The sequence below is a fragment of the Homo sapiens genome, chromosome X (assembly GCF_000001405.40).
Source record: "Homo sapiens chromosome X, GRCh38.p14 Primary Assembly".
NCBI lineage: Eukaryota > Metazoa > Chordata > Mammalia > Primates > Hominidae > Homo > Homo sapiens.
In genome coordinates, this window is record NC_000023.11 from 148,941,439 (window position 1) to 148,969,398 (window position 27,960).

At 41.6% G+C, this 27,960-nt stretch overlaps 1 protein-coding gene across 6 annotated transcripts in view; it reads left to right on the forward strand.

The window, feature by feature from the left end:
* AFF2 (ALF transcription elongation factor 2) overlaps positions 1–27,960 on the forward strand; it is a 500,047-nt gene that overhangs the window by 440,822 nt on the left and 31,265 nt on the right. For 5 of the 6 annotated variants that reach the window (NM_002025.4, NM_001169124.2, NM_001169123.2 and 2 more), the window contains 6 exons: positions 12,142–12,301; positions 14,165–15,175; positions 16,899–17,020; positions 21,277–21,499; positions 25,352–25,641; positions 26,191–26,254. In NM_002025.4, the coding sequence (NP_002016.2) occupies positions 12,142–12,301; positions 14,165–15,175; positions 16,899–17,020; positions 21,277–21,499; positions 25,352–25,641; positions 26,191–26,254 (1,870 nt within the window). The remainder of the gene's footprint in view (positions 1–12,141; positions 12,302–14,164; positions 15,176–16,898; positions 17,021–21,276; positions 21,500–25,351; positions 25,642–26,190; positions 26,255–27,960) is intronic. The other variant, NM_001169122.2, reaches the window with a different exon arrangement.

Consider the following 27,960-nt stretch of genomic DNA (forward strand, 5'->3'; position numbering starts at 1 on the left):
TGACATGATTAGAGTAACTCACATCTTAGACAAATTGGAATAATGGAGTCATCATTCTAATTAAAAACAGGAAGGTCTGTTTGTATGTAGCATTCATTTTCAGTAAGAACCACACCATTTGTTTTTCATGTTCATGCATGTTTGTACACTCTGCGACCCATCAATGGTTGTTGCTCTAAATACCAATTACATTAAAAATATCCATCCAGATACTTTGCATTTTGTCAATGAAACTGAAGCTGAAGAAGGAGTTGGGCACTGTGTCATATGGCCAGCATCCATAGAGGCAGTTGAAGGGTTACAACAAATCCATCATCATGCAACCTATTTGCCTGATTATTTTCATCAAATTAACTTATGCTTCATGATGTTTTTGTGTTCCATAGGCTGGCCTAAGTACTGGCTTCTGTTGATACACATTTCACAGTTAAGTATTGTTCTTTACCAGGTGACTCTGTTTGTGCTTCATTTCTATATATTATAAAGCCATCTGAAGTATTTTCTTATAACAAGAAAATTATATACAATTTATCATGCCGGTCACCCTGGGATATGCAAAATGACTTTACATTCTGGTCCCTGCCATCAAGGAATGTACAATTTAGTGGTGCAGGTTAGCACAACGAAATAAAATCATCTGAGATTAATGAAGTGATAAACTGTGATGCAAAACAGGGAGATATCTGTAAGAATTAAAAAGTCATTAGCGATGACTTCATATTATTTGAATTTGAGCTTGAAAGATAAAGATTTAACCAAGCAGAAGAGAGGGGAAACGTGCCACTGTAGATAGAGCAAACAGGATAAGCAAAGGCATGGAGGCAATGTGGGAGCAGAGAGGAGACAAAAGTCGCATTTCTGTTGGGAATAACAATCAGAAATAAAACTGACACTAAGGTAGGGTGTTGATAGAGATCTAACTCTGAAAACCTTATAGCAAAGAGTGTATATATCTGCCAGAAAGTCATTGTGAATTCTGAAATAGAGAGATCTCATGATACAACATATTGTCACAGAGGGTGAGTATAAAAGAGCAAAGCTTTTAGTTCACCAGGGAATGAGGTCAAGGCAAGTAAGAAAAGAACATTGGATTTGCGGCCAGGCACGGTAGCTCACGCCTGTAGTTCCAGTACTTTGGGAGGCCAAGGTGGGTGAATCACGAGGTCAGGAGTTCGAGACCAGCCTTGCCAACATGGTGAAACCCCATCTCTACTAAAAATACAAAAAATTAGCCGGGCATGGTGGCACACACTTGTGGTCCCAGCTACTCAGGAGGCTGAGGCAGGAGAATTGCTTGAACCCAGGAGGCGGACGTTGCAGTGAGTCGTGATCGCGCCACTGCACTCCAGCCCAGGCGATAGTGTGAGACTCCATCTCAGAAAAAAAAAAAAAAAATAGAAAAGAAAAGAACATTGGATTGGCAATGATGAGTCAGGAAGAGAAGGGTTGTTGCGGGCAGTTAAGAAGCAGTTTTAGTAGCCAAAAGAGTTTCAAAGCCTAATTACTAGGCCTGAAGAAGTTTCCAGTGGTGAGGAAGTGGAACCAATAAGTGTTGACTTTGACCACATCTTTAAGACATTTTCATGGTGGAAGACAGTCAGTGACTTTTTCCTGATTAGGAATGTATGGGCTAGTCTGGGTGACCACCCAGCAGGGCTGTCTGTACATCATCCACTTCTCTTGGCAATATGTTGTGTTGCTGCCTTGTGAGGGTTAGATACAGCAATTTTGCAAGTTACAGTTTTTGCCATTCACTTAGATTTCTGATGATCGTGTTTACAATACAATTATGAAGTAAGATTCATTCAGTAAGGAAACTATATGACTTTTATTTCAGAAATTGCGTATGTGACTTTGAATAGGCTGACTGCAACAAGGTTTTCCTAGCACACAGCGTTGGTGTCCTTCAGTGTTTTCAGCACCAAATTCTTACAACCAGATTCATTAGGTCAGCTGAAGAAAACTTTTTGGATTAATTTTGAGTCTTATTGCTTTCTGAGATGATTAGAAAGATGAGTTTTGTAGTGGGTTTTGATTGTTCTCATTGCCTCTAGCTTGACAGTGTTTAGTCGATGGTCACAGTAGCCTAGTGAATAGGTATCCTTCGATAACTGTTCCTTCTACCTTCTAGTGTTCTTGTGGCAATCAAATCATGGGAGTTAACTTGCTTGAAAACTATCAAGTGCTCTGCACTTAAAAGTATTCTGATCTTATTGATCCAATGATGATGATATCCTCTTGGAACCATAGAGTCACAGAGCAATAGGGATGTTAAGTGCCTACCCAAAGGCAGAGGATATGTCTGTGGACAGTCCTCCCTGAGATTTATAGAGAAGACTTCTTTGTGGCTTTACTCTAGGGTGTATTAAGCACACTAAGCATTTTACAGAATATGTGGTTGATAAAGCCTCTGGTCTTAGAAGCTTACCTTCTAAATCAAGTGTCTGTGATACATCAGGTAACAGATCAGACATGAAGGGAAGCAGACAATACTGATAAGGAGAATGGCATTGACCAACATCACAAAAGAGATGTAGTCTAAGGAGAGATTGGAAGAGCAATGCCCACTTCCCAAATTGAGCAGCAGGTCTAAGTACATTGAGTAATAGGAAAGAAGACATAAAGCACGGAAAAAGGCGGAGGCTTATGCTAAGCCACTGTGAGACTATCTTCAGGAAGACCTGTGCCTGTCTAAGCATGCTTTGTACTTTCCTAGGGAATTCAGCCCGCCATCTGCCTGGGTTCTCCTGACAAGCAGTTGGGCCCCATCTCCGGGCCAGCTTTTGGAACACAGTGGAGGAGATTCCTCCATGGAAGCAGTTTCTGGGTTTAAGACACCCAGTGGAAGTACACAGCCTGCTCCACCTACGATTTGTAACTGATATGATTCCTTGTGGGAAGGTCTTGACCTTGTTGTAGACTCCTGGAGGCTGGCCCTTTCTGGGTTTCTTGTGAATGCAAGCTGCCACTCAATCATTCATTCTCAGCTTTGCAGAGGCCAGAGCTCACGGGAGTCAGTGTTCACATCCACTTGCCCGCCTTTCTTCTCTCCTTTGCTCCCATTTTTAAAAATGGGCTTTAAAGGCAAAAGGTACAAAAATACTTGGCTTTATATGATTTTTTTTCCCACCTGTTTGGCTGTTTGATTGAAACAGCTCTGTCTCATGCCAGAAAAGTCAGTGTGATTTTTTAAATTATTTCCATAGAAACCGAAATATCAGCTTATTCTTCCATATGCAAATTGCAATGCTTTGAAGACATAATGGTCCATTAGCCAACGTTGGCCAGTCTTACTGGGAACATGCTGACATCCTCCATAGTGTCACCTCACCATGTACCATGGTGAGGTTGAATCCAGGTGCCTTTTTTTCATTCAGGTTGAATCCAGGTGCCTTTTTTTCATTCCTTTGAAATTGCAATATTGAAGTTAATCTCATAGTATCCTTAAAACTATTTTTCAACTTGATATGGTTTGGTGCTACATCTCCGTATTCTCAGCTGTAAACTGGAAGTAGTAAGAGTATCTAATTTATCGTGTTGTGGTGCAAATTAAGGGAGAAACTGCAGGGAAGGTGCTCAGTAGCCCAGTTCCTGGCATATAATGAACACTAGCACTACCAGGATGAATTATGCCCTGGATCCCCACTACGGCCATGGATATAGCCTGCTATGACCCTGACCCTTGGCTTGGGCAGTGGCAAGCCACCTTTGAACGTCATTAGTGATCCATAGGACGTGCTCACAGGAAAGAAACATACATTAAGTGAACTGCTGGTGTGGGCAAGTAGGTTCAGGAAAGTGGTAAACTGATATCCCAGCTTATCAGAAGGAATCTGATAGAAATTGTTCAGGAACAATTGCCTAAAGAAAGCTTAAATTTCACCAAGTCAGATTAAAAATGATACAAGGTAGTCAACTTTCTCTGTTGCTAAAGGAGGACAGAATAATTATGAAAAAGTGAAATTCACAGTTCACCTTAAAATTGGGTTTTAGCCTTTAGTTTCAAATTCGTAACTCACCAACTTCTTTTTCTCCCAGTGGCTCCCATCTGAATAGCCCCATGTAGATATTAGCCTTGCCATGCTCAATGTGGTCCACTGGGAGTTATCTGCATCACCTGTGATTATATTGGAACTGCAGAACTCAGACCTTGCCCTAGGCCTACCTAATTAGAATCTGCAGGTTAATAAGATCTCCAGGTGATTCCTATGCACATTAAATTTGGAGAAGCATGGGTTTGTGAGTTTCCTCACCTAAATTACCTCATCCAGCCCTCTTAAAAACCTATGTGATATATTATCCCCATTTTACAGGTAAGGAAACTGAGACCCTTATGTTAAGTGCCTAGCCTAAGGTCATACACTGATGAAGTATCCAAGGTGACACTCAAAAGCAGATCATCTGACTTCCAACCCTATGCTCTTCCCATTGTACTAAAACTGACTCTTTAAAACCAGTAAGGAAAATGCAGCTGTCTAGATATGTGGCAGTGGATTGAAAATGGGAGACGGGGCACAGGTAGGAAAAGAAGAGGCCAAGTGCCTGAGTCTGGTCAATCTACAGAAAGGACAACCAAGCCCTGATTAGTTGTGAGTCAAACATGGTGCTGAAAAGCCATTGCCAAAATCACTCATAATTATCATCTCAGAAAGGAAGTAGGGGTTGAGTAAGTTAGAAGAAATAGGAACCAACAGCTGGTGATCGAAAAATGTAAAAAGCCGGTCATTTACAGTTATCATAAAAGTTCCAAACGGTCTGTTTGCAGCCTCTCTGGAAGATGTAACCTCTCATTGCACCATTGATGTGGCATTAATCTACTAGCGTCTTTTTACTCAGAGATCTGCTTCCCAGCACGTCATTTAGCCATCAAGGTTCCCTTCCCAGGGTGGGCTTATATGTTTGGACTTCTCTGAAGGGAAACTAAATTTTACAAACAAAAGAAAATCTGTTCAGGTGTAAGAGGGTGCACTCAGAATTTTAATTATTTGGATCTTGTATTACCTTCCTATTGCTGCCGTGACAAATTACCTCAAACTTAGTGCTTTAAAACAACACACATTTGTTATCCTAGAGTTCTGGAGGTCAAAAGTCAGATGTGGGTCTCACATGGTTAAAATCAAGGTGGCAGCATGGCTGCATTCCTTTCTGAAGGTTCTAAGGAACAAACTGTTTCCTACTCAAGTAAGTTATTAGCAGAATTCAATTCCTTGTGGTTATAGGACAGAACTCTCCATTGTCTTGCTGGCTGTTAACTGAGGGCCAGTTCCAGCTTCTAGAGGCTGCCACATTCCTTGACTTTTGGCCTCCTTCGTCCATCTTCAAACACCAGCATAGCAGGTCAAGTCTTTCTCACATGGCATCACTCTGGCCTCCTCTTCTGCCTCCCTCTTTTACTTGTAAGGATCCCCGTGATTACACTGGGCCCACTTGGATAATCCAGGATAATCTCCCCATCTCAAGATCCTTAATATTTACATATGTGAAATCTCCTTGGCTATATAAAGTAACATATTCAGAAGTTCTATGGATCAGGTTATGGACATCTTTGGGTCAGTCATTACTCCATCAACCACAGATCACTTCAGTCATTCAGGGCTTTAAGCAATGTCATGTATAGTAACTTGTCTGAGAAAATGAATAGGAATGAATAGGTGTGGACCTCCTTATTACTCTTTGCAAGTAAATTGAGGCGGCTCTATTTCAAACATCAGGATGAGATAACAGGACAAACATCCTAGTGTATACATGTTAGGCAAAGACAATCTTTTTATGAAGTTATATCAGGGTGTGGCCCAGATCACAACTGGACCATAATCGACTGTCTGCTCATCAATAGCATCAGAGAATTAGCAGAAAATATATTTGATTGTGACTTGCTTGTGATGATATTGGGATATGAATTATTTTATTTTCAAATTGTGCTCAGGGGGCATCCCAAGGAGGTAGGGAAGCTGCTGGGGACATAGGCTCCCTCCCCTCTCCACATCCCTTGTTTCTTTTTTCCACCACAGCAATTCTGTTTTTATCGGTTTTATATATTATTCTTCTGTGTACACTTTCTATTGCTTTCTATTTCTGCATACACTATTTGTTGCAGAAATGGGCTAAGTGGATTTTCAGGGGACAGGGGAGATGGGGGAAGATTTCAAAACTGCTGACACAGACAAAATGGAATCTTCCCAGTCTCTAGCTAGAATAAGTTCAGGGTTCAGAGTGTCTGCCTCTGGTGGCCTAATGTGATGAGGCAGGCATAATGCTCCAGTTCTGGAACCCAGAGTTCAGAGACAAAAACGAAGGAGGAAGGAAGATAAGATCAGCTGCGGATGTTGATTCCTTTGCCTGAAGTTCATCTGATTACAGCTTAATGATGAAATCAAATATGAAACCATTCTAAATTACCTAATAGACATTTTATCCCAGTAAAACTGGAACACAGTCAAGCTGATGAAATTCATGCAAGTCTTAACTGAAGAGGAGAGTTTCATGTAGGACTCTCCCATTAAACATGTCTTGCTCCATGTCTTTGGCAAGTTCTGGGCCTTGTGAAATGTGTTGCCAAGATCAATATGTGGACTTGCTTATAGAATCCTCCCATGTACATTTCCTATACATAGTCTGGATGCCCACACAGCTTGTTGGAGCAGAATGGCCAATTCATCATCTCTGTTTATCTCCAGAGAAAGGGATTTACAGTTAAATTAGAATTAGAATCAAACAGCACTGGTGCAGGTGTTTGGCTTTCTGGAGGCTGTTAATCTGAATTAGTAAAAAGTCTGACTTATAAAATAGCCTACAGAAGTGCAGTTTTAATCCTGTGAGGTTTATACAATAACCCTGTGACTGATAGAGTACTGTAGAGACAGGACATTCCTAGACTTGCCTTAAGGAGCAGATTGGATTGCACAAATGCCTCCTCACATGTTTCTCATAAAGTCCATAAACAGCCTCACTTAAAATCCCCAATACACTTTAGGTTCATAAGGATTATAATCTTTGAATTGGAAGACACCTTAAATTTTGTGGGTAGTGGGGCCAGTGGTGCAAGTGGTAAAGGAATTTACCAATACAGTTGTAGGTAAAGAAAGGAAGATTTATTAAAGTATGAAAATATGTTGCAAGTTTGCAACAGCAGAGAAGGGGCTGTCTGCAAAGAGGCAGGGGCTGGAGGGAAATTTTACAGGGTCATGCTGGAGGGGGCTATGTGCAGAATGAGGTCATTTTGCCCATGAAACAGGATCATTGTGCCTGTGGAATGAGGTCACTGTTTGGGATTAGCCATCTCTCAGAACAATTGTTCATTGTTCTTCCCCACCTGGGCCCTCCTACACCTGGGGCCCCTTCCTCATTTTTGCTTACTTATCAGGACTCCATACTAAAGATCATCCAACCCCACTTCAGACCCACAATAAGGATTCTTCTCCCACATTCTTTATAGCCACTGGCTATCTGCTCACCTAAAGTGCAGGGTTCACTGGCATGCAAGGTAGTGCATTCTTTCTGTGGTCAGCTGTAAGTTTTTAAAAGTATTTCCTGATGTTGAGGTAAAATCTTCCTGACTAGATCTCCAACTCATTGGTTTTGTATTTACCGTGGAAGTTCAGAACAAGCCCACTCTTTCCCTGCTGCCAGGGCAGACCTGCACATTGTTTGAAAATTTTCAGTATATGTGCCTCTCCCCCCATCCCCAACCCAGAGTCTTCTTCAAGCAGAATAGTCGGTTTCTTCAATGTGGCCTTTGGCCTCTCCATCTTATCTGCATCTATTCATTAATTATGGTGCTACACATTAATCCCTTTATTGCAGAAGAGTCTGGGTGGTGTAAGCATAGAAAGACTATCACATATAGAGTCTAGGGTGCCCAGACTATCTCTTAAAGCCCATTTTTTTCCCCTGTCACTCTCAAGCTTTCCACCAGGGTCAACCGTGTCTGGAGAAGGCACCTTAAACGCCTCCCCAGCTTCTCTCCCACTGGCCTACTCTCTGATCGCCTTCCCCAGCTTTGGATTCCCCCACTAGGGTCACTGACTTGCTAAGCCATCTTCTCTGCCCCCAGTCTGGCCTATGACCATGAAGACCTAATGAATGGGTTTGGGATTAAAATAAAGCTTAGTTCTACTTGGTAAAGATGAATGATGAATACGATAGCAAATTCTGATGAATATGATAGCAAAATCTGATCTTTGAGAAGGTTGAGCAGTTGACTTTGAAGTCATTACAAATGTGGGTCCTTTGAGAAGTTTTGTTACATTGTAGTGAAGTTACTGAGTACACTTTTAATATTTACAGACTATAGAGTGGATGGCTTAATATAGCAAATGTTAATTATTTTTAGTATCAGACATTATGTTTGTTGTAATCACTAGCATTCTTTTTAAAAGCAGTTTATTGAAATATGAAAGTAAATGATGTGTGAAAAATAACATTAATACAGTCTTAGTGAATGAAGAATATATAAACTGTGCATTAGTTTTTCATCTCCTAGGCAGAATCAAGTATTACATGGGCTAGCTTTACTCATAACCACTTTCATGTACATCTGGAAAATAAATTAGTAACGTATGAAAATAAATGTAGCAGAAGTGGAAATTTAACTAGCTGAACAGCTAACAGATTTCAGTGAAGAACTGAAAGTGACATATTATGATGCTTTGCCAACTTGAAAGTTCCATGGTATATTCCAGACAAGAATGTGGCCTTAAGCCAACTATTCAGACATTGATGTTTGTCCTGCTTTTAAAGACAATGTTTCAGTTTTGTACTCACTTTTTGTCCCTGGGAGCAGTCCCAACCGGGCGCAAGGTAGGCCCAGAGGAAATGAGGCCCAGACTCAGATGTAAAGCTTACATTCCTTAGCAGACTGGCTGCATCTACAGTCTCCAGCAAGCCCATGAGCAGAAGATGGAGAGTAGAGGCACAGGAAAGGTGCTGGTGAGAGCAATTTTGCCTCCATTTAAGCAACCATTATTCCCTTCCACAAACGCTGGCTCTCCATTTCCAACTGTGCAACTTCCCGGAGAAAGCAATTCCTTTTCATTAACACACTGAAGTCCTTCACCCCTAGTTTGAGTTCTCATGGTGTCCTCCCTGAATTAAAGTCCACCCTCCTTCTTATCCCCATATCTGTATGTGTAAGTATAAAAAGCTGATGTACTTCTTCTTGTTCTTCCTATACTAATTTCCTCTAAGTGTTCATTGTCAAAATTGACTGTGTTGGAGTCCCACCTGAGAACACAGAAACAGATTTAGCTATAAAAATTCTTAGGATACATAATTTCAGGTCTCATTTCATTGGGTCTCAGTCAAGGTTGCCCTTATGTTTAAAACAGTTTTAATTTCATGTCTTTCTTTATATCTACTTATAAGTATTGTCAAATTTTCATATATGATTTCTATTTACATCCATAATTTCTTACACTTCTGAAATTCAAAAAGTTCTGAGAACCAATATTTTTTCTAACCTTGAGACAAACTCATTTGATGATAAAACCTGACCTAAACTGTTGTAAAGATATTTATTTAAAACATTTATGTATTCCTCTTACTGTGAATGTTACTGCAACAATAGTAACAAGTTTTATTAAGGGGTGCTTATCCAGATCCCACTGAGAATATTATATATGGTATATTCAGCATAGTACTTTTTAAAATTAAAAACATCCGAATACTAAAATACATCTGTTCTCAGAAGGGCTTTAGATAGGAAAGATATATACAAAACACATACACGCACACACACACACACGCACACACACACACACACCCCAATTTTTCTACTAAATCCATGGAACTTTGATTTAGCTGAGGAATAAGTTGATTTTGGTAAATAAATCATCCCTGCTTCATGTGTATCACCTTAATGTATTTGGTTTTGAAGGAGTAATCCCAGGGATTTTTTTGTTTCTTACAGAAGTTGCTAAAAAATTATCTAGTAAGTGGAACTCTATCCAGAAATATTCCAAAGTCAACCTAGAGTCTATTTTAGCTTAGTAATAGCAGGATGACCAGCTTCGTATTAAAAGAAATGAGTGCATAAATGTGAAATGATACTAGGAAACAGCCTTTTCTCTTGAGAATCATAAATGTGGATACAAATTAGATTTTATCCCTCAATCCACCACCCAGTATTCTCAGTGTTGCAGATGCTCTGTGTTATATTTAAAACTTCACTTGGGAGGAATTGAGGCCAAGTTAGCCTAATCTCTGGATTAGTCTCACTTAGATTTCTGTTCTCTCAATCTTTATTTAGTAACCGAAGACAAAAACAATTGATTAGATTTAAAGAGAACTTTGCATAAATAGGGTATCATTACTGACACTAAAGAGAGATCTACAAAGGAATGCAGGGAAATAGGAGCCCTGTTATAGGTCTCCTCCCTTTCCCCCCCACTGCTGGAGAAAGACACACAGTTCCCAGGAGATACAGTAGTCTCCTTATTTCTTGTACTTTCCCTAATCTCTTGATGTACTTGACAGAGAAATGTACTTGTAGTTCGCATTTACTAAGCAGATAGCAGTTTAAAATGAGCTTTCACTATGTTAAAGAAAATGTCTACCTGGGAGATTAAAGGGCCAGTCTTTAAGGACACACGGCACAGGAAGTGGATAGGCCCTCTGCACTGAGTAGTGACTGATGAGGAGCCTGTGCTGGCTTTGAAGGGATCCTATTCCTTCCCAAGCAGCAGCTCAGTATGGCTCCAGCTCAGTGAGTGAGAGTTGTAATGTTGGAGAAGAGGCTCTAGTGAGGGCATAGGGTGGGGTCATGAACTCGTTTGGGTTCAGGCAATGAATAAAGGTCTGTGCTCCTTGAGCTGGGGGCTGGGGAATTCTTGCGGATCCTCTTTCTCACATTTGAACATGGGGCCACAGGACCAGGTGACCTCCAGGACCATACTGGGCTCTCTTGACTGAGCTGCTGCTTCAGATTTGTGGAATGCGAGGGAGAGAGCAAGTCAGGTTGCTGCTGCATGCAAGAGGCTGCGAAGGCCCAGTAGATGGCAAACAGACAAACAGGCCCCGAGCACTCCCCTCCCCATGAGCTAAACTGATCTCCAAAGAGGGGTTAGGCTGAAGACACAGAGGGAGATTAGAACCTTCCCCCAAATTTAGAGACCCATTTCTGAGAGAAAGCAAAATTCAGTCCAAAGCAACAATGAGAAAAAGAAAGGTGATGGCATACCCCAGTGTACCAAGTTGCAGCTGAGGCTGACTTGTTATAGGACGCAGAGAGCAAACGATCGGTATGGAGGAGTATTATTTATCAATAAAGGCAGAGTAGCAAATGGTGTCACTTTCCAAATGCTTTGCTTGGTCAGCTTTACAAATTTAAAATCAATCATTACAGCTGGTTGCTCTCTTATGATCATAACTCCTTGTAAGAGTTACAAAGAGGTTATAAAAAGTATGGTGGAGGAGGCCTAGAAGTGTGTTGTCTCATTCCCTTATTCATGCACCCAACAGACAGAAATTGAGGACCAACTCTAGTCACTTTGGGGCTGAGCGCCAGGCCCTCAGCAATGAATATGCTCAGCACAGCTAGTGCCCTTTGAAGGAGCTGGGGGGCCAGGGTCCTAGGTGCTAGTCTTGGCTCTCCAACTAGCTGTGAGGCAGAGACCAGCTCCACCCCCTTTCTGAACCTCAGTTTCCTCTAATTAAAATGATAATTGAACTCACTCCTTCTTGGTAATAGAACTATATACCATATGTTTAGCTAAGATCAGAGCCCCTTGACGAACCTGTGGGGTATTGAACAAGGGGGCAACAAAAAATGAAAAACTACCTTAACTGAAAAAAATGGGACAGTTCAACATCTAAGGCACTACATCTATATCTGCATCCAGAAGGCATGCAAACTTGGCTTAAGGTTTTTATGTTGAATGAGGGTGGCAAGGCTTTTCTGGAAGACAAGGCAGTGTGATGGAAAGCCAAGGAACTTGCATACACATAGGCCTGGTTCTCTTCAAAGCTTTCAACTTGGGCCAGTCACTGGGCCTCCTAAGCCTCACGTTTCCTATCTATAAAATGGGAACGGTAAACCCCACTCTACCTGCATTTCACAGACCACAGGCCCTTCACCTGAACTGGGCTGTTTTCCATCTTATTTGAGAGTAAATGAGGCAATGAATTATGTTGTTTTTCTTTCAGCCCACCCTTGGCCACTCCCCAGCCCCCACCTGCAGTGCAAGCCAGCGGGGGTTCTGGCAGCTCCAGCGAATCGGAGAGCAGCTCTGAGTCGGATTCAGACACTGAAAGTAGCACCACTGACAGCGAATCTAATGAGGCACCTCGTGTGGCAACTCCAGAGGTGAGTGAAGGTGCCAGGGCCCTAACCATGATCTGCCTGTCCCACAGGCAGCACCCTCAACACACACACACACAGACACACACACACACACACACACTTTCAGCACAATAATTAATAATTAATTTAGCATGATAACCACTTCAGAAAAGTACCCAGATTTTTAACAGCACTTTTAAAAAGCATATATTCACATACTCCTAACATGCATACATTTTTTGCTGTGTGACTGATTTGCTGTGTGACTCACTTAGCTTCTCTTAGCATAGTAAAACTAGCATAGTAATGAATAGACTAGCAGCTTGTCTTCTGAGAGAATCAATGAAGCCAGTCAAGATCCAATTCTGGCCTTGGGGACACTAACCCTTACTCTAGATTAAAGTGATTAAAGTGTGAATTGCCACTTGGCAAGTAAGACCCAAGAAGTATGGCTTTCCTTAACGGTAAAATGATTATTTAAATGTTATATGTTCTTTATTTTAATATGCATCCTTCAAGTGTGTTTGATAATAATTCACCAAAACATTTAACACAGCTCCATGAAATACTAAAATAATAATTTTGAAATAAAAGAATTTGCTTCACATCCTCTCTGAGTCCAGGATAGCCGCTCAATTTCCCTGAGCCTGCATTTGGTATAGCAAGTAAATTCCACCCTCAACCCCCGGCTCTTCATACACTTGTTTTTCAATAATCAGAAAAGAAAAATAGGAGACAATAATAATATTACTGCTATTAATAATAGAAATACCTGTTGAACATGGACCATGCATGTGCCAGGCACTGTGCTGAGCTCTTGACTTGCATTTTCTCATATTATCCTCATGACAACCTTACAGAGTACTTATTATTATTTTTGTTTTACAAATGAGAGAATAAGGTTCTAGGAGGTTAAAAAGAACTTTCCCAAGACCTCACAGATAGACAGTAGTAGAGCCAGGACTGAAAACCCTGGTCCATGTGTATCCAGAGCTGATGTTCTCAACCTGAAAGCTCCACTGCCCACAGTGGCTGCTGATACAACTTCCTCAACCCTTGCCTGCCATTGTCTTGTGCAGGTTGCTATCACAACTACTCAAGTGTTTTTAATTCTGTCACCCTCTATTGGCTGGTACCATAAGCCTCAGCTGATGGCTTTCAAAGGAAGAGCTCTTCTAATAAAACTGATGGCAGAACTCAGAGTTAGGAATCAAGGACCCGAATAGTATGTATCATTGCCATGGTTTAGTGGATGCTAATGTCTGCATGCATGTTCCTATAAATTGGTTATTGCCCATACACCGACGAAAGCTCAGTGGTTTCTATTTTTTGGAAGTAAAATCTTTTTGTCCTTCAGTAAAAATACAAAAGGCCTGATTTGTTTGCAGGGAATGACAGCATCACATAGAAGGCACTGGCACTCTGGCAGCTGGAAAGCCTTTCCTTTTGAATTATACTTGAGGTGTGCTTACGTTCCTTTCAGGATCAGAGACTATTACCTTTGCCTCCTGGTGAGAGGTTGAGTGATGATTCCCACAAAGGATTTTGGAAACAGGTTTCCCTCATTGGCATCCCTGCCAACCCACTGGAACATCTCTCTGTGAATAATTCTTTTCTTCCTGGCCAAACTAGAGAATATTTTCAGAGAAGGAGTCGAAATGAGCTTAAATAAGTAGACTGCAGCTGGTTTGTATCTGACTATTTAGGTCATTTGAATATTATGGATAGTGGGTATGTGCAGGTGTGTGTGTATGAGTGTGTGTATTTGTATATGTGTGAACAGTCACTTGACATCCAAAGCTTTTAGTAGTAGTCTCTGTACTCAGGGTTCTCTTGAATCCTTCCCAAGTGTAAAAATCATTCTTGCTGCTGTTTCTCAATCTGCAGCCTGAGCCACCCTCAACCAACAAGTGGCAACTGGATAAATGGCTTAACAAAGTGACATCCCAGAACAAGTCTTTTATTTGTGGCCAAAATGAAACACCCATGGAGACTATTTCTCTGCCTCCTCCAATCATCCAACCAATGGAAGTCCAGATGAAAGTGAAGACGAATGCCAGTCAGGTCCCAGCTGAACCCAAAGAAAGGCCTCTCCTCAGTCTCATTAGGGAGAAAGCCCGTCCACGGCCCACTCAGAAAATTCCAGAAACAAAGGCTTTGAAGCATAAGTTGTCAACAACTAGTGAGACAGTGTCTCAAAGGACAATTGGGAAAAAACAGCCCAAAAAAGTTGAGAAGAACACCAGCACTGACGAGTTTACCTGGCCCAAACCAAATATTACCAGCAGCACTCCCAAAGAAAAAGAAAGTGTGGAGCTTCATGACCCACCAAGAGGCCGCAACAAAGCCACTGCCCACAAACCAGCCCCTAGGAAAGAACCAAGACCTAACATCCCTTTGGCTCCCGAGAAGAAGAAGTACAGAGGGCCTGGCAAGATTGTGCCAAAGTCTCGGGAATTCATTGAAACAGATTCATCTACATCTGACTCCAACACAGATCAGGAAGAGACCCTGCAAATCAAAGTCCTGCCTCCGTGCATTATTTCTGGAGGTAATACTGCCAAATCCAAGGAAATCTGTGGTGCCAGCCTGACCCTCAGCACCTTAATGAGTAGCAGTGGCAGCAACAACAACTTATCCATCAGTAATGAAGAGCCAACATTTTCACCTATTCCTGTCATGCAAACTGAAATCCTGTCCCCTCTGCGAGATCATGAGAACCTGAAAAACCTCTGGGTGAAGATTGACCTTGACTTACTCTCTAGAGTACCTGGCCACAGCTCACTCCATGCAGCACCTGCCAAGCCAGACCACAAGGAGACTGCCACAAAACCCAAGCGTCAGACAGCTGTCACAGCTGTGGAGAAACCAGCCCCTAAGGGCAAACGTAAGCACAAGGTAAGCTGTCTAAAGTGGCCTGCCAAGTGCTTGTGAGCAGTGTCTGTTTGTTGTCTAACTTGATCTTGAGCCTCATCTTCAAGGAAGCCAATGGCAGTGCATTGCAGATTTTGGCAAAGGTGATGATGCTTTCTGTGGGAAATGCAGTATTTGACATGACCAGAGAGGAAAAACTAGAAATGATCTGTAGCCAGTGGCAAGAGTGTCCATTATGGCATATGAGGGCTTATGATGTGTAGGAAAGAAAAATATGAAGAAAGTCTCCTTACTTAGGCAAGGCACGCAAGTGCCCTCAATGTCCAAATGCATCTTCTAGGGCTTTTTAATTTCTCTGGACAAACATTAGCATCTCCACAGTCCAGTTATACTCTAAGTCTCCTGGGTCCTACCAACCACATGTTCTTCCCAGCCTGCTGGGATCACTGATCTATGTGGTAGGCTTGACTTGGGAAAATTTTACCTGCAGAAGGCTAGAGCTGAATTCCAAGGCTATAAAGTATACTCATAAGGTGAAATCCAGAGTGGCCCTTTTCATTTGAACTATGTCTAGAGAAATGGTTTGGTATCCAGTATGCTCATTCTGTCGTATCTCCACATCTCAGGGTACTTTTTTTAGAGTGATGTTATCTCATGATGATATTCAGGTAATCTTATTTCTAAGGCTGCCACAGTGGCTAGAAAGGAGGTTCCAAGTCCTTTCTTCATTTATTCTGTCCCTTTCCAGGAAAGACTTAAGATTCCTCATTGAACCGCAGCCCCCACTGTGGCCAGGCCATCCGACTGACTAGGATGATGCAAAAATGATGGCAGTCATCATTCAGCTTGACTTTACAAGTTCCAAAACAGAGGATATTCTCTCGGAGTTGCATACCTAATGAGAGTACAGTTTGAGCATCCCAAATCTAAAAATCCAAAATCCAAAATGCTCCAAATCTGAAACTTTTTGAGCACTGACATGACACTCAGGAGAAATAAGTGTTCACTGGAGCATTTTCAGATTTTGGATTTTTGAATTCGAGATGCTCAACTGGTAAGTTTAATGCAAATATTCCAAAATTCAAAAATATTCAAAGTCTGAAACATTTCTGGTCCCAACTATTCTGGATAATGGCTACTCAGCCTATATTCCAAAATAGGGACCAAGAAGTCAAAGACCTTTGCCCTACCACTGATTCTCCACATTTAGTGATGACAACAGTACAACCACAGCTGACAGTGTACCTTCAAAACAGCACATGCAAAAGTCCAAAGGTGTGCTTTGAACGTGGTTCATTTCCTTACGTGATGCTCATTGTGTAAGCAACCTTTATATGTCAGCCATGATCCCCATGCTGCTTGGACAGGATTTATGTCACATTCAAGTTACAATGTTAGTTTCTAAACTACTCATTTGTGGGGGCATTGTTGATGGGAGAAGTGTCCAAAAATTGTATTAATAGATTCTCTTTACTTTTGTTGTGAGATTCCCATGCCACCCAGTCTTTACACAGAGGTTCAGATCACACAGTTGTACTCTCTCAAATGCCAACTTCTTTGTAGGACTCGGCTAGGCAAGGTTGATTGCTTTTCTGTCTGATCAAAGGTGCACATTTAACTCACCTACCTAATCTAGAAGTTAAAATAAAAGCAAACTATGTATCTTGCTCATTTTTAGTGTATAAAATATGGATGTCTGAATGGTGCCATGCATTTCAAGCTCTGTGTATTTTTTTCCCTGTTAAAGCCAATAGAAGTTGCAGAGAAGATCCCTGAGAAGAAGCAGCGCCTGGAGGAGGCCACAACTATCTGCTTGCTCCCTCCTTGCATCTCACCAGCCCCACCCCACAAGCCTCCCAACACTAGAGAGTGAGTTTGCCCTGGCCCTGTCTGATGGCTTGGTATGATTGTTCAGACTCCTAAGAAATCCTAATTGAACCTGTTTGGGGGATCTTGCCCCAGAAGACTTTAAGGTAAAAAACAGGAGTCTCTCAGTCAAGGCCTGACAGCTGTCCCTGGCCACTGGTCTAACAAGGGTGTGATAAGGGGTAGAACATATGCTGCCAGAATTGGGGTGACTCCATGAGCTTTTAGCAACATTTCTTTACTCTAATTCAGATTTATCACTAAAATTAGTCAAAACGAACTTTTAGCACTCAGTGAAGGGTAAAAGGAAGTAAATAAATTAACAAGAAGCATCAAGAGAACCCCTATCACTTTAACCAGATCACCTGCTTCTACCCAACATTCAGTTCTGATGGTGATTACTCAGTTTCCCTGGAAAAGCAACTCCTTGATCTTGACAGAACGAGGCAGCTGCTTCCTCTTTGATGTCATTACTTAACATTCATATGAATCTTGAGGACCAGTAGCTATGTCCGGAACTCCACAGAAGCCAAGGGAATGAAAAAAAAAAAAAAAAAAAGCTGTCTTTTCCTGACACAGAACTGTCCCAGGAGGAGGGCCACTCCCAGACAGCTCATCTCTCTGGCCTCCTCAAACATGTCATTCCAAGGAGCTGGCACCTGTTCTTCCTTCTCTCTGTGTGTGGAAGGTTCCAGAGTCCAGCAGGAGGCCTCCTGGCACCTCCTCACTCAAACAGCTTGAGTCTTCTTCAGAGAAGTCCTGCCTTCTGTTTCTGCCAAGCATTGTGACCAAGTTATTTCTGTCTTATAAATATCACTTAACTAACAATCATGTCAGCAACTTGAACCATTCTGTCTGAGTAATTATTGCCATAAATTCATTCAACATTAGAGATTACTTCCATCAAAGCCAGTTTTGGAGCCTATTAGCAGCCCAGAGCAGAGAGGCAATCTGGCTAACTGCAGCTAACAATTGATTTCACAGATTACAGTTTAACATCAGGGATATGGCATCAATCTGCTACAGATAAGATGTCGGAAATAAGTTATCAGCTTACATTTGTCTGGATCTTTGTTGTTTTGAGATGAAAGGAAAGAAAAGATCAATTACCACTAGATCTGGTTTAACTAATAAGGAGATTTGGGTCCTGGGCTGCCCCCTGCCCCCAGGATCAGTAGTTATTGGTGAGGTTCATCAGTATTCTCTGATATAAGTTTGCTCTGAAACATCCCTTCACATACATACTTGAAGTTCTCAGAACTAGAGACCCTTCCAGTGGAGCAAGCTGACCCCTTCACCTCAGGGTAGACCAGGCATGTGAGGAAGCATGCTCCCCTGATGGTAAGACGTGGTCATTCCAGAGCCCTCCTTCGTTGTTTGCAAGGAGGAAGGACTAAAATGGCATAGCTGTGGTGGCATTGTTCCCTCAGTTTCCAGGCTTGGACCAGTTTGGGCCATCCAGCCTTGCCACAGCCTTTGGTCCCCACTGCTACACTCTCTAGGTGACCCAGTGGCCTGTCGCCTTCCCCATCTTATAAAAGAGAGATGACCAAGTATTACATAAAGGCCTAGTCATTTGAGTTGGTTCTTACCAAATGTCACACTCAGGGTTGGGGTCCACCCCCAGCTGAGGTCTGAGGGGAGTGTGTGGATGTGGAGCAGGGAGCTTGGAGAACACTCAAGAGACAGCAGGTAAATGACACATAGCTTTATTTAGCAGCTCCTTCACTGGGTGAGTGTTACATTTATACATTACACAAACAATAGTGGCTGAGAGCCAGGTGGTGAGCTTCTCTGTGTTACGTCTTCATGGCTATGATTATATAAGACATGGGACTGTGCACTTGTGCCCCAATCCACTGAGTCATCTAGGCTGTTTACCTCAGCCTATGCCTGCTGCCCTATGCCTGCTTGGCTGCAGCACAGCCATGTTCCTTACACCAAATGGTGTCTTTAATCCACTATCTTTACAATGTCTCTGCTTTTCTAGTAGGTGGGAAAGCAGTGTTTCCCTTGTAGCCTTTATCGTTCAGAAAGAGCCTCAATTAGTTTCTTACGCCCATCAAACAGATGAGTTTTCTCTGGAAAACTTTCTGGAGTTGAAGAAGAATGAAGCAATGACTGACCTCTTAGGGGTCTCCTCCTGGGAATCCCCTCCTCAAGCTTTGCACCTTTGTGCCTTATTAACCTTTCAAACAAAATGGGAGACAACATTCACTTTTCTAAATGACTATTCTAAACCTAACAAAGATTCCACACCAGACTATGACAGCTATAGTTCCCCATAGTTCAACAGAAGGACTCTCCTGGACCTCCCCTTCTTCTTTAGAGCTGGTACCTTCAGCAGGCCCTCTGAGGAATTGAGTGCAGGTGGTGATGCTCTTCTTTTGTCTCCTGTTCTACTCTGGCCTATTGGAAGAGGTACCCAAAGACGCAAAAGCTGCTTTTCTAGTTGTAAGTCATAACAATGACTGAGTGGTCTCTAGAAAATGCTCCCTAGGTGTCTTTCACCAAGAAAGTCCTTAAAGACCCCGTGGTTCCAGATCATGACCAGGCAGATGTAAAGGGGGCCAGGTCACGGGTGCTCACTGTACAGAATGCACTGAATCCCCGCTGGTTGCTTTAGTGGCAGACAGGCAGGCATTGCATGACTGTAGTTGCCAATGGCAAATTAACTGCCTCTCAGAAGCAGCTCTTTCCCTTGAAGCCCCCAGTTTCTCCTCAGGCAGCTCAAGTAGTGGGGGAGTATTTACAGCTAATGAACCACCATTCACCTCCTGTAGATGCCACAGCAATGCTTGACATCCACACGTATAAATTCCCAAAGGCCTGGTGCCTTTGTAATTATTACACTTAATGTGATCTGCTTGTTGTGGAGCTTCCTCATGGACAAGAATCTTAATCCATATGTTCACCATCATTTTAATCAGGCATCACTACTATTTTAAAATGGTTATACATGTCAAAGCAATTTTTCAAATCCATTGGAAAGTATTTTTAATTAATTTTAATCAATTGAGGTAATGACAGAAACAGTTGCGTTTTTTCAGTTTCGCTACACAACAAAAAGTAACATAGGGCCACATTTATGAAACAAAAGATGGAGAAGATGACACATATTACAATTGGCAATTTTGTGCAACACAGTGGAAGTGGGCCAAGGAGTCTGCATTGACTTCTATTTCAGGGAATCAGACCACTTGAATGCTTGTTCATCTTTGATTTGTTGCTTTGAGATATTGTAAATCTATATTTCTAGACACTGACTGAAATTGACCAAGAGGAAAACATAAATTCTTGTTGACTTAATTTGCCATTGAAAATTGTAGTCAATAATCATGAAAAGTAAATAGCTGCACAGTGCAATATTAGTTGTCTAAGCAAAGATTAAAATTCAAGTAATCTTCCTTGATTAGTCTAAGACAGTAACTAAAATGAAAATCCATGACCCAATTACCATGTTAAGCAGCTAGCATAAGGTTTCAGTTGTTCTGTTTCATTTGAAGTCTCAGACTATTTGGTGGTGCCCATTTAATGGGCAGATAAATCAGTTTGAAAGCACGGGAGTACTTTTAAAATTGCAGATGTCTAGTGTGAATATGACAAAATAACATTTTTAAATGGAGTTTTGTAAAGTGGAGTACATCAGTACTTCAGTATAACAATTTAAGGTCAGAGGCTCATTATGCTTGGCGTTGGAGTAGAACATTCTGTATATACAATTTGCAATGTATGTCGCAATACTATTTAGTGCATTATTTATTTCTAAGTAATGCGTAAGCATAATATTTCTTAAGAAAGTATTCTTCCACTGATTCTTTATTGTGCCATTTATTGCATGATTGTGCAGTTAAGTCCTAGGGCAAAATAAGTAGGAACCATCCTGAAAAATGATGGGATTAAAGTCCTCATTGTATTTTCCATAAAAATCTAATTAACAGCAATCTTGAAAAGTTGAAAATATCCTACTGTAGCACACTCCATTAGGCATTTACATTTGTCATGGAGTTCTGCTGCAAAGACATGAGTTTATTCTTGGATACATATGTATGCATATATCTATATTTATATAGAGAGATATCTATATCTATAAAGATATCTATATCTATGTCTATATGCATTTTTAGATATGCTCTTCACCATAGGTAGAGGGACAGCAATTAAAATATGACTTCAGCTTACAGTACTAGCATCATGGGGAAAATCAGAATAAAGAGAGAGAAGACTTTATGACACCCTACACTTCTTGTTTTTCACAGAAATAATTCATCCAGGAGAGCAAATAGAAGAAAGGAAGAAAAACTATTTCCTCCTCCACTTTCCCCACTGCCAGAGGACCCTCCACGCCGCAGAAATGTCAGTGGCAATAATGGTCCCTTTGGTCAAGACAAAAACATCGCCATGACTGGACAAATCACATCTACCAAACCTAAGAGAACTGAAGGCAAATTCTGTGCTACTTTCAAAGGGATATCGGTAAATGTAAGCATCTTGGAAGAAATATTATTATTGTCAGGTAGAAACAAGTTAACCAGCTCATCTAACTTGATCATTTGGGGATGTTGCAGGAGGAAGGGAGGAAGATGCAGAGAAGAAATATGAGAGGCCTGTGTATACAAATACACAAACTTTCCATTATTTCTTTTTGTATAGTGCCTAGTATATTGTCACAAATCATTAGGGATTATAAATGATACAGATGTTATTATGACAATGATAATGCTTAAAAGAATCTGCAAAGTCATTTCCACAAGGGCTAAAATCTACTGGGGAAACATGATAAATATATTAATATTTGCTCCTAGAAATATATCATCCTTCTTAGGGAAATCACTAGGCTTCTCTGATAGCAGTGAGCAACCAGTGCCTCTTCTTGGGCCATTCTTTCTATTAATGATTTGAAATCTAGGAGACTTTGTGGCATAATTTTTGCCTTAGCCTGTGATTAAGACACTTAACTCTTGTATAGTGCTAGCACTGCAACAAATTTGCTCGATAACTCTGGGCCAATCATGAAACATCTCTGAGATAATAAAATGAGGGGATTTGACTAGATGATCTATAAAGCTTCTTCTAGCTCCAAAAACGTTTGCAATTTTGTGCTCGCAGAGTCTTCTCTATTCCATTTAGGCATGAAGTCCTGTTTATTGACTCAACAGGTGAGTGAGTGTGGAGAGATGACATTTTTATGTAACTTACATGATCATGGCTGAATTCAGCCATTTCCAGTCAGATGTGCCAGGACTGACATAAATGCCGTGGGTGGTGGATGTAATGTTTCAGGGTTCTTGCCACATATCTTGGCCATAGAGACAAATGACACTGTCTTGGGCTGGCCTAACTGTTTGGTCTAGGCCAATCGGGCTGTGGCAGTGGAGACACGAAGCTGGCTTACAAGTTTTTTACGGCTCTGTTTCCTTTAAAATGTTTGGGTTGAAAAAAAATCTTTATTTTCTTCGTATCCATCATAACAATTTGTAGATGATGCGTAGGTTCTCAGCACATTTATATCAGTGAGATCTAGGTGGTAATAATTATTTTGTATTCAGAAGGTCCAGGATGAAGTGTAAAAGATCCACAGAAATATAAGAAATACATTTCACATTTGGCTTTTATCTTTAAAGTGACCCTGTTGACTATGGCAAGTGTCTGTGCATATGTGCATGCATGCACTCAGCAAACACTGAGGGCACTGGGCTGTGGGGTGGAGGGACAGTATCGTAAATCAGAGATGGCTCCAGTGCTCAAAGAACTCTCAGTCTAAAGTGAGCAATGAGACATATGCTCAAAGGACTAGAATATAAAATAGCTGGTGATTGGTGTCTTAGGGCAGGGATAGAGACAGGTCTCTGAATGGTCCAAGGAGGATTAAAGTACTTCTGGCTGTAGGCATAAGGTAGTTTTCCTGGTGGAGGAGGCGTTTCCTGAGTTGATCCTTAATAGATGAGTAGGGTTTAAAAATGAAGGGAAGTGGATGAAGAAAATGTGGTCTATCCACACAATGGAAAAGGAAGGAAATCCTGTCATATTATGCAACATGGATGAACCTTTAAGACATTATGCTAAGTGAAATAAGCCAGACACCAAAGGCCAAAACCATGTGATTCCGTTGACATGAGGTCCCTGGAGTAGTTAAATTCATAGAGACAGACAGTAGAATGGGGGTTGCAAGCGCCTAAGGCAAAGGGTAAATGGGGAGACACTGTTTAATGGGTACAGAGTTTCCGTTTTGCAAGATGAAAAGAGTTCTGGGGATTCACAACAATGTGAATGTACTTAACATGACTGAACTGTACACTTAAGAATGGTTAAGATGGTACATTTTATTATATGTGTGTTTTACCACAATTATGAAAATTTCAAAATGCAATAAAAATAATAAGTTGAATAAATTATCACCAGGTGGTAAAAAAAGAAACAAATGAATGGAAGGCTTTTTGAAATCTAAAACTTCACATGTATCATCAAATCAGGAAAGTGAAAAAAGCGGGGACATGTTCAGTTCAGTTGAAACTAAGGTTCATGGAAGGGAACAGTCAGAGATTGGGCAGAAAGCTGCAGCCAAATCAGGTAGGGCCTTGAGTGCCAGCAAAGGAGCTTCAGCCTTGAGTTTGCATTTGAGTGCAGAGCAGGGAGATGCTAGGAACTTTGTTCAGGAAGCTCAAGCTAGCAGACAGCAGATTGAGGGTGGAGGGAGAAGCTAGCTCAAGGGCTGGGAGTCCAGCCAGGAGACTCTTTGTTAGTCTCAGTGAGAAGCCATGAGGGCCTGCATTTTGAGGCTTTGAGGGAGAAAGGGACAAATTCGAGAGATGTTGGGGAGATACAATTAATAGGAGTAATTAACTGCAATTAACTGGTAATGTTGAGGGAGAAAAATTAAAGATGAAATAGAGGAATTGTTTTCAAGAAGAGTTCTAGGAGCATTATCATTTTTCAAAATGAAGTAATTTACAGAACTTCAATATATAAAGCTGATTAAAGCAGAGCAGCTCAGATGGAAGGAAAGGTGGGGAGTCTCTACCTTGCCAGTTTCAGTGCCACTAGCCCAGATACTACTGCAGTTCCCTGTGTAACTGTGCCAAAGTCAGTTTGGAAACTCTTTATTGACACGGAGAAATTCAGCTTTGATGACAGGGAAGACCATCCTGCCATTAACAGAAAGACGAAACTGGTTTGATTAGTGATTTGGTTTGCCAAAAATTTGAGGCGCTAATGGCCATGTTGGTAGAATTGTCCTAAGATGGTCACTGTAGGCTGGAGCTTTGGAGATTGGGTAAGATTGAGGTTTCCATTTGGGTGTTACCTACCTACTGTTGAATCTGTGCCAACAACACACAAGATTGACAGATCATATCAAGAAAGAAGAGAACTGCGGAGTGAACTTTGGGGAACACCAATGTTAGAGAGATACCAATTCAGAAGAGCAGAAGGAAGAGGAGGCACCATGGGAAGTATGGTCAGACAGAGAACAGTCAGGAGAGTCCCACAGTTGCTGGGGGCGGGAGGGCAGAGTCAGCCACTTGAACATGGCAGGTAGTCTTGTGATGCCACACTGTCACATAATTACAGATCTTACCACCTCCTTTCTCCATCCTCTCTATAGCAATGACAGTTCAAAGCAAAGCCCTTGTAAGTATCTTACCCATTTGATTTTGGACCTGGTAGAAATGAGGCTTCACCATCCTAAGATTGCAAAACAAAATGGAGACACACTCACATTTCACTTAGCTAGAAACCAATCAAGCGCCTCACATGAACAAAAGGGCGGCTTCAACCTCACTTCAGCCAGGGCAGGGATGATTAGAGTACAATTTCCTAGTATTTTGCTGGACTGTATCTGGTATTTTGCAGAGTGACCTGAGGACGTTACTTACCCTAGAGAAAGCTTCTGGGTTGGTTCCCTTATCAAAAATACCCACAGCGGGGTCAAGGGATTTATTTAATATCTCTATCTCTCCCTCTCTTTGTCCATGCATCTCTTCCTTTCTCCCTCCCTCCTCCTCTCTCCTCTCTATATTCTTCCTTCCCTTTCCCCTCACATTTATCACTAGATTTAGACCTTTGCTGTGGCTGTCTTAATGGGATGGTGGAGCTATGTAATGGCAGCACCCAATTAGCTTGATGTTTGGTGTCATAATAGAACAAAAGCTGGTGATTCATGGCGTTCATAAAATATCCAGGGTCACCTATTTATCCTCAAGCTGTGTGCATTGTTTTCTTTCTTTTTTTTTTTTTTTGCCTTCTTTCGTAACGTGCTTGACATTCAAAGCATTTATGACAAGGTGTTTTAAAAAGCTGGACCTAATGGAAACTATTTGTCCTCCTTTTTCCCAGGAGGGAGACACTCCAAAAAAGGCATCCTCTGCCACCATCACTGTCACCAATACTGCTATTGCCACTGCTACTGTCACTGCTACTGCCATTGTCACCACCACTGTCACAGCTACTGCCACCGCCACGGCCACCACCACAACTACTACCACTACCATTTCCACCATCACCTCTACCATCACTACTGGCCTCATGGATAGCAGTCACCTGGAGATGACGTCCTGGGCGGCTCTGCCCCTTCTATCCAGCAGCAGCACTAATGTCCGGAGACCCAAGCTCACTTTTGATGACTCGTATGTTGTTCCAGATTATCATGGACAGTTTGGAGTAGTGAATGGGGGGTGGGGGTAGCATGGCTTTTCTAGTGCTGTGCATGTGTCACCCCAAATAAGACCTCAGCATCAAATCCTATACCCTTAAAAGTCCACCCCACCCCCTGCATACACACTCACCACTCTGTCCCCACCAAGAAATGTTTTTGGCCCATTTTAATTAAGCAGCATTGTTACTGTTCCAAAGGCAGGTTGTTCTGTCCTTTCCTATCCATGTCCTCACATATAACCAACACACAGATGTATAGCTAGGTTTTGTTTGATCTATTTGGACAACTGTAATGGTTGGGGTTGGAGCATGTGGTTATTTATCCTAATGGGCCATTATGTACTTCAGATTTCATTTACAGTATTATTTCAAGGTTGGTTATGATATGAATGACAGCATTAGTCTGCCTTTTTCAAGGCATTATATGGGAATAAATTTATAGCAGAAAAGGTTTGATGATTCAGTCTTTTACTGAAAAGATGAAGCATTGGTTTCTGAAAGAGCTTGTTTTGTTTATTTAGGGTTCACAATGCTGATTATTACATGCAAGAAGCTAAGAAGCTGAAGCACAAAGCTGATGCACTGGTAAGTTTCCTTTTTCTCATTGCTTTGTTCCTATTAAGGATTTATGTTTCAAAGGAAAACAAAGAAAGCACTTTTCCAAACAAATTTTCAGTATCACAGCCCACACCTGCCTGTCAACACATTGCTGCCCTGACATAGGGAGATTTGAACTAGTGAATTACTTAGTTCTGTAATTCCCAAAGTTCTCAGGGCTTGGTTATCATGTCATTTGTTTTCCCACTGTTCTTCCCCTTACCCCAACTTCAGAAGCTCAATGGCATATACCACTGTCATTACCTTTCAAGTGATTTTGGAATGACTTATGAAACTTCCCTGGAAATGATGTGCTTTTTTGGTCCAGTAAGCCAGAACTCGTGTGGGAATGTGAGAGTTGTTTAGAGCTGTCTAAATGGCCTCAAAAATTGGCTTTGGGAAAACTAGGCCTGAGGAAAAACTCAGCTCCTTGCTGCATTTGATGACATGTTTTCAGAGTGAGCCCCACAGTTAGGCTGGGGCCCCAAGCAGAGAAGAGAAATGCTGTCATCTGGATTTCTCAAGATACTTTGCCCAGCTGCCTCCAAGGGTTTTAGCCACCTAGATCAGTCATAAGCTCAACATTTTGAGTTGTTTGATTTGGCTGAGGCTCCTAACAGTGGGTCTCAACCACACATCACATTGAAAGCTTTAGAATAACTCTGATGCCTAGCCCATATCCCAGACCAATGAAATAAGAATTTCTGGGACTGGGACCCAGGAATGAGTATTAAAGCTCCCCAGGAGATTCCCAATTGCAGATATTTGAGAACGACTGTCCTAGGGAAGGCCCTAAATTCAGGCTTCTCACTTTGACTAAACCCCATTGGGTTAAAAAATAGCATCCTCAAACATTGCATTGTGTCCTGCTAGGACTTAGTTGTCCCAGTGGTGTTTGATACTGGGAATGCTGTGATGAAATACCATGACTAGTGTGTAGCCAACATCAACTGTCCATGGTCCTTACATCTGCCTTTTCCCTACTTTCTGTCATTTCCCCACTGTGGTACAAATTGCTTCGTGTCTGCAGGTGACCTTTCTGTGGTGTAAATTGTTCCTTAGAAGCAATTTTCCCCTGCTCCTGCAGACAAAAATGACAAGGCAGGCTGGGTGCTAGCTCCATTGGAGATGCCAGGACAACAGTGCCTGTGACCATTGTATAGGTGATGAGAGATTTGAAAGGCACTGGATGGTAATGCTGCTCCCTCAAAGACCAAAGGTTTTCTCTAAATGTCCTCAATTCTGTGACACTACAGAGCACTCAAGTGCTCCTAGGGTTTGCCATCTGTCAAAGCAGGGGTTAGGGAGCATACACATGTTCCATTGACAAGCTGTTACATGAGCTGATGAAGACTGGGATATACATAGGAGACCATGTAAATGAAATGTTTGAAGAACTGAGAAAAATCGGTACCACAGACATATATACATATGATTATGAACTAACATCACTCTACATTCCAAGGTTGTGTTTATATGTATGTCTTTCAAGGGATCACATTTGGCCTAATCCATTTAGAATATGCATTCCCAATTGGGGAGATGCTGCCCCTATGGGGGTAAAAATTGGTTTTGGAGATGGGGTGAAAAGATCTTAGTTATTGCAATGGGGTGTGACCCTCCAAAGGGCCACAGGGCATAAAGAGAGAATAAGTATATTTCTTGTATTAAAATTTCATTGGGGGTACGTGAAA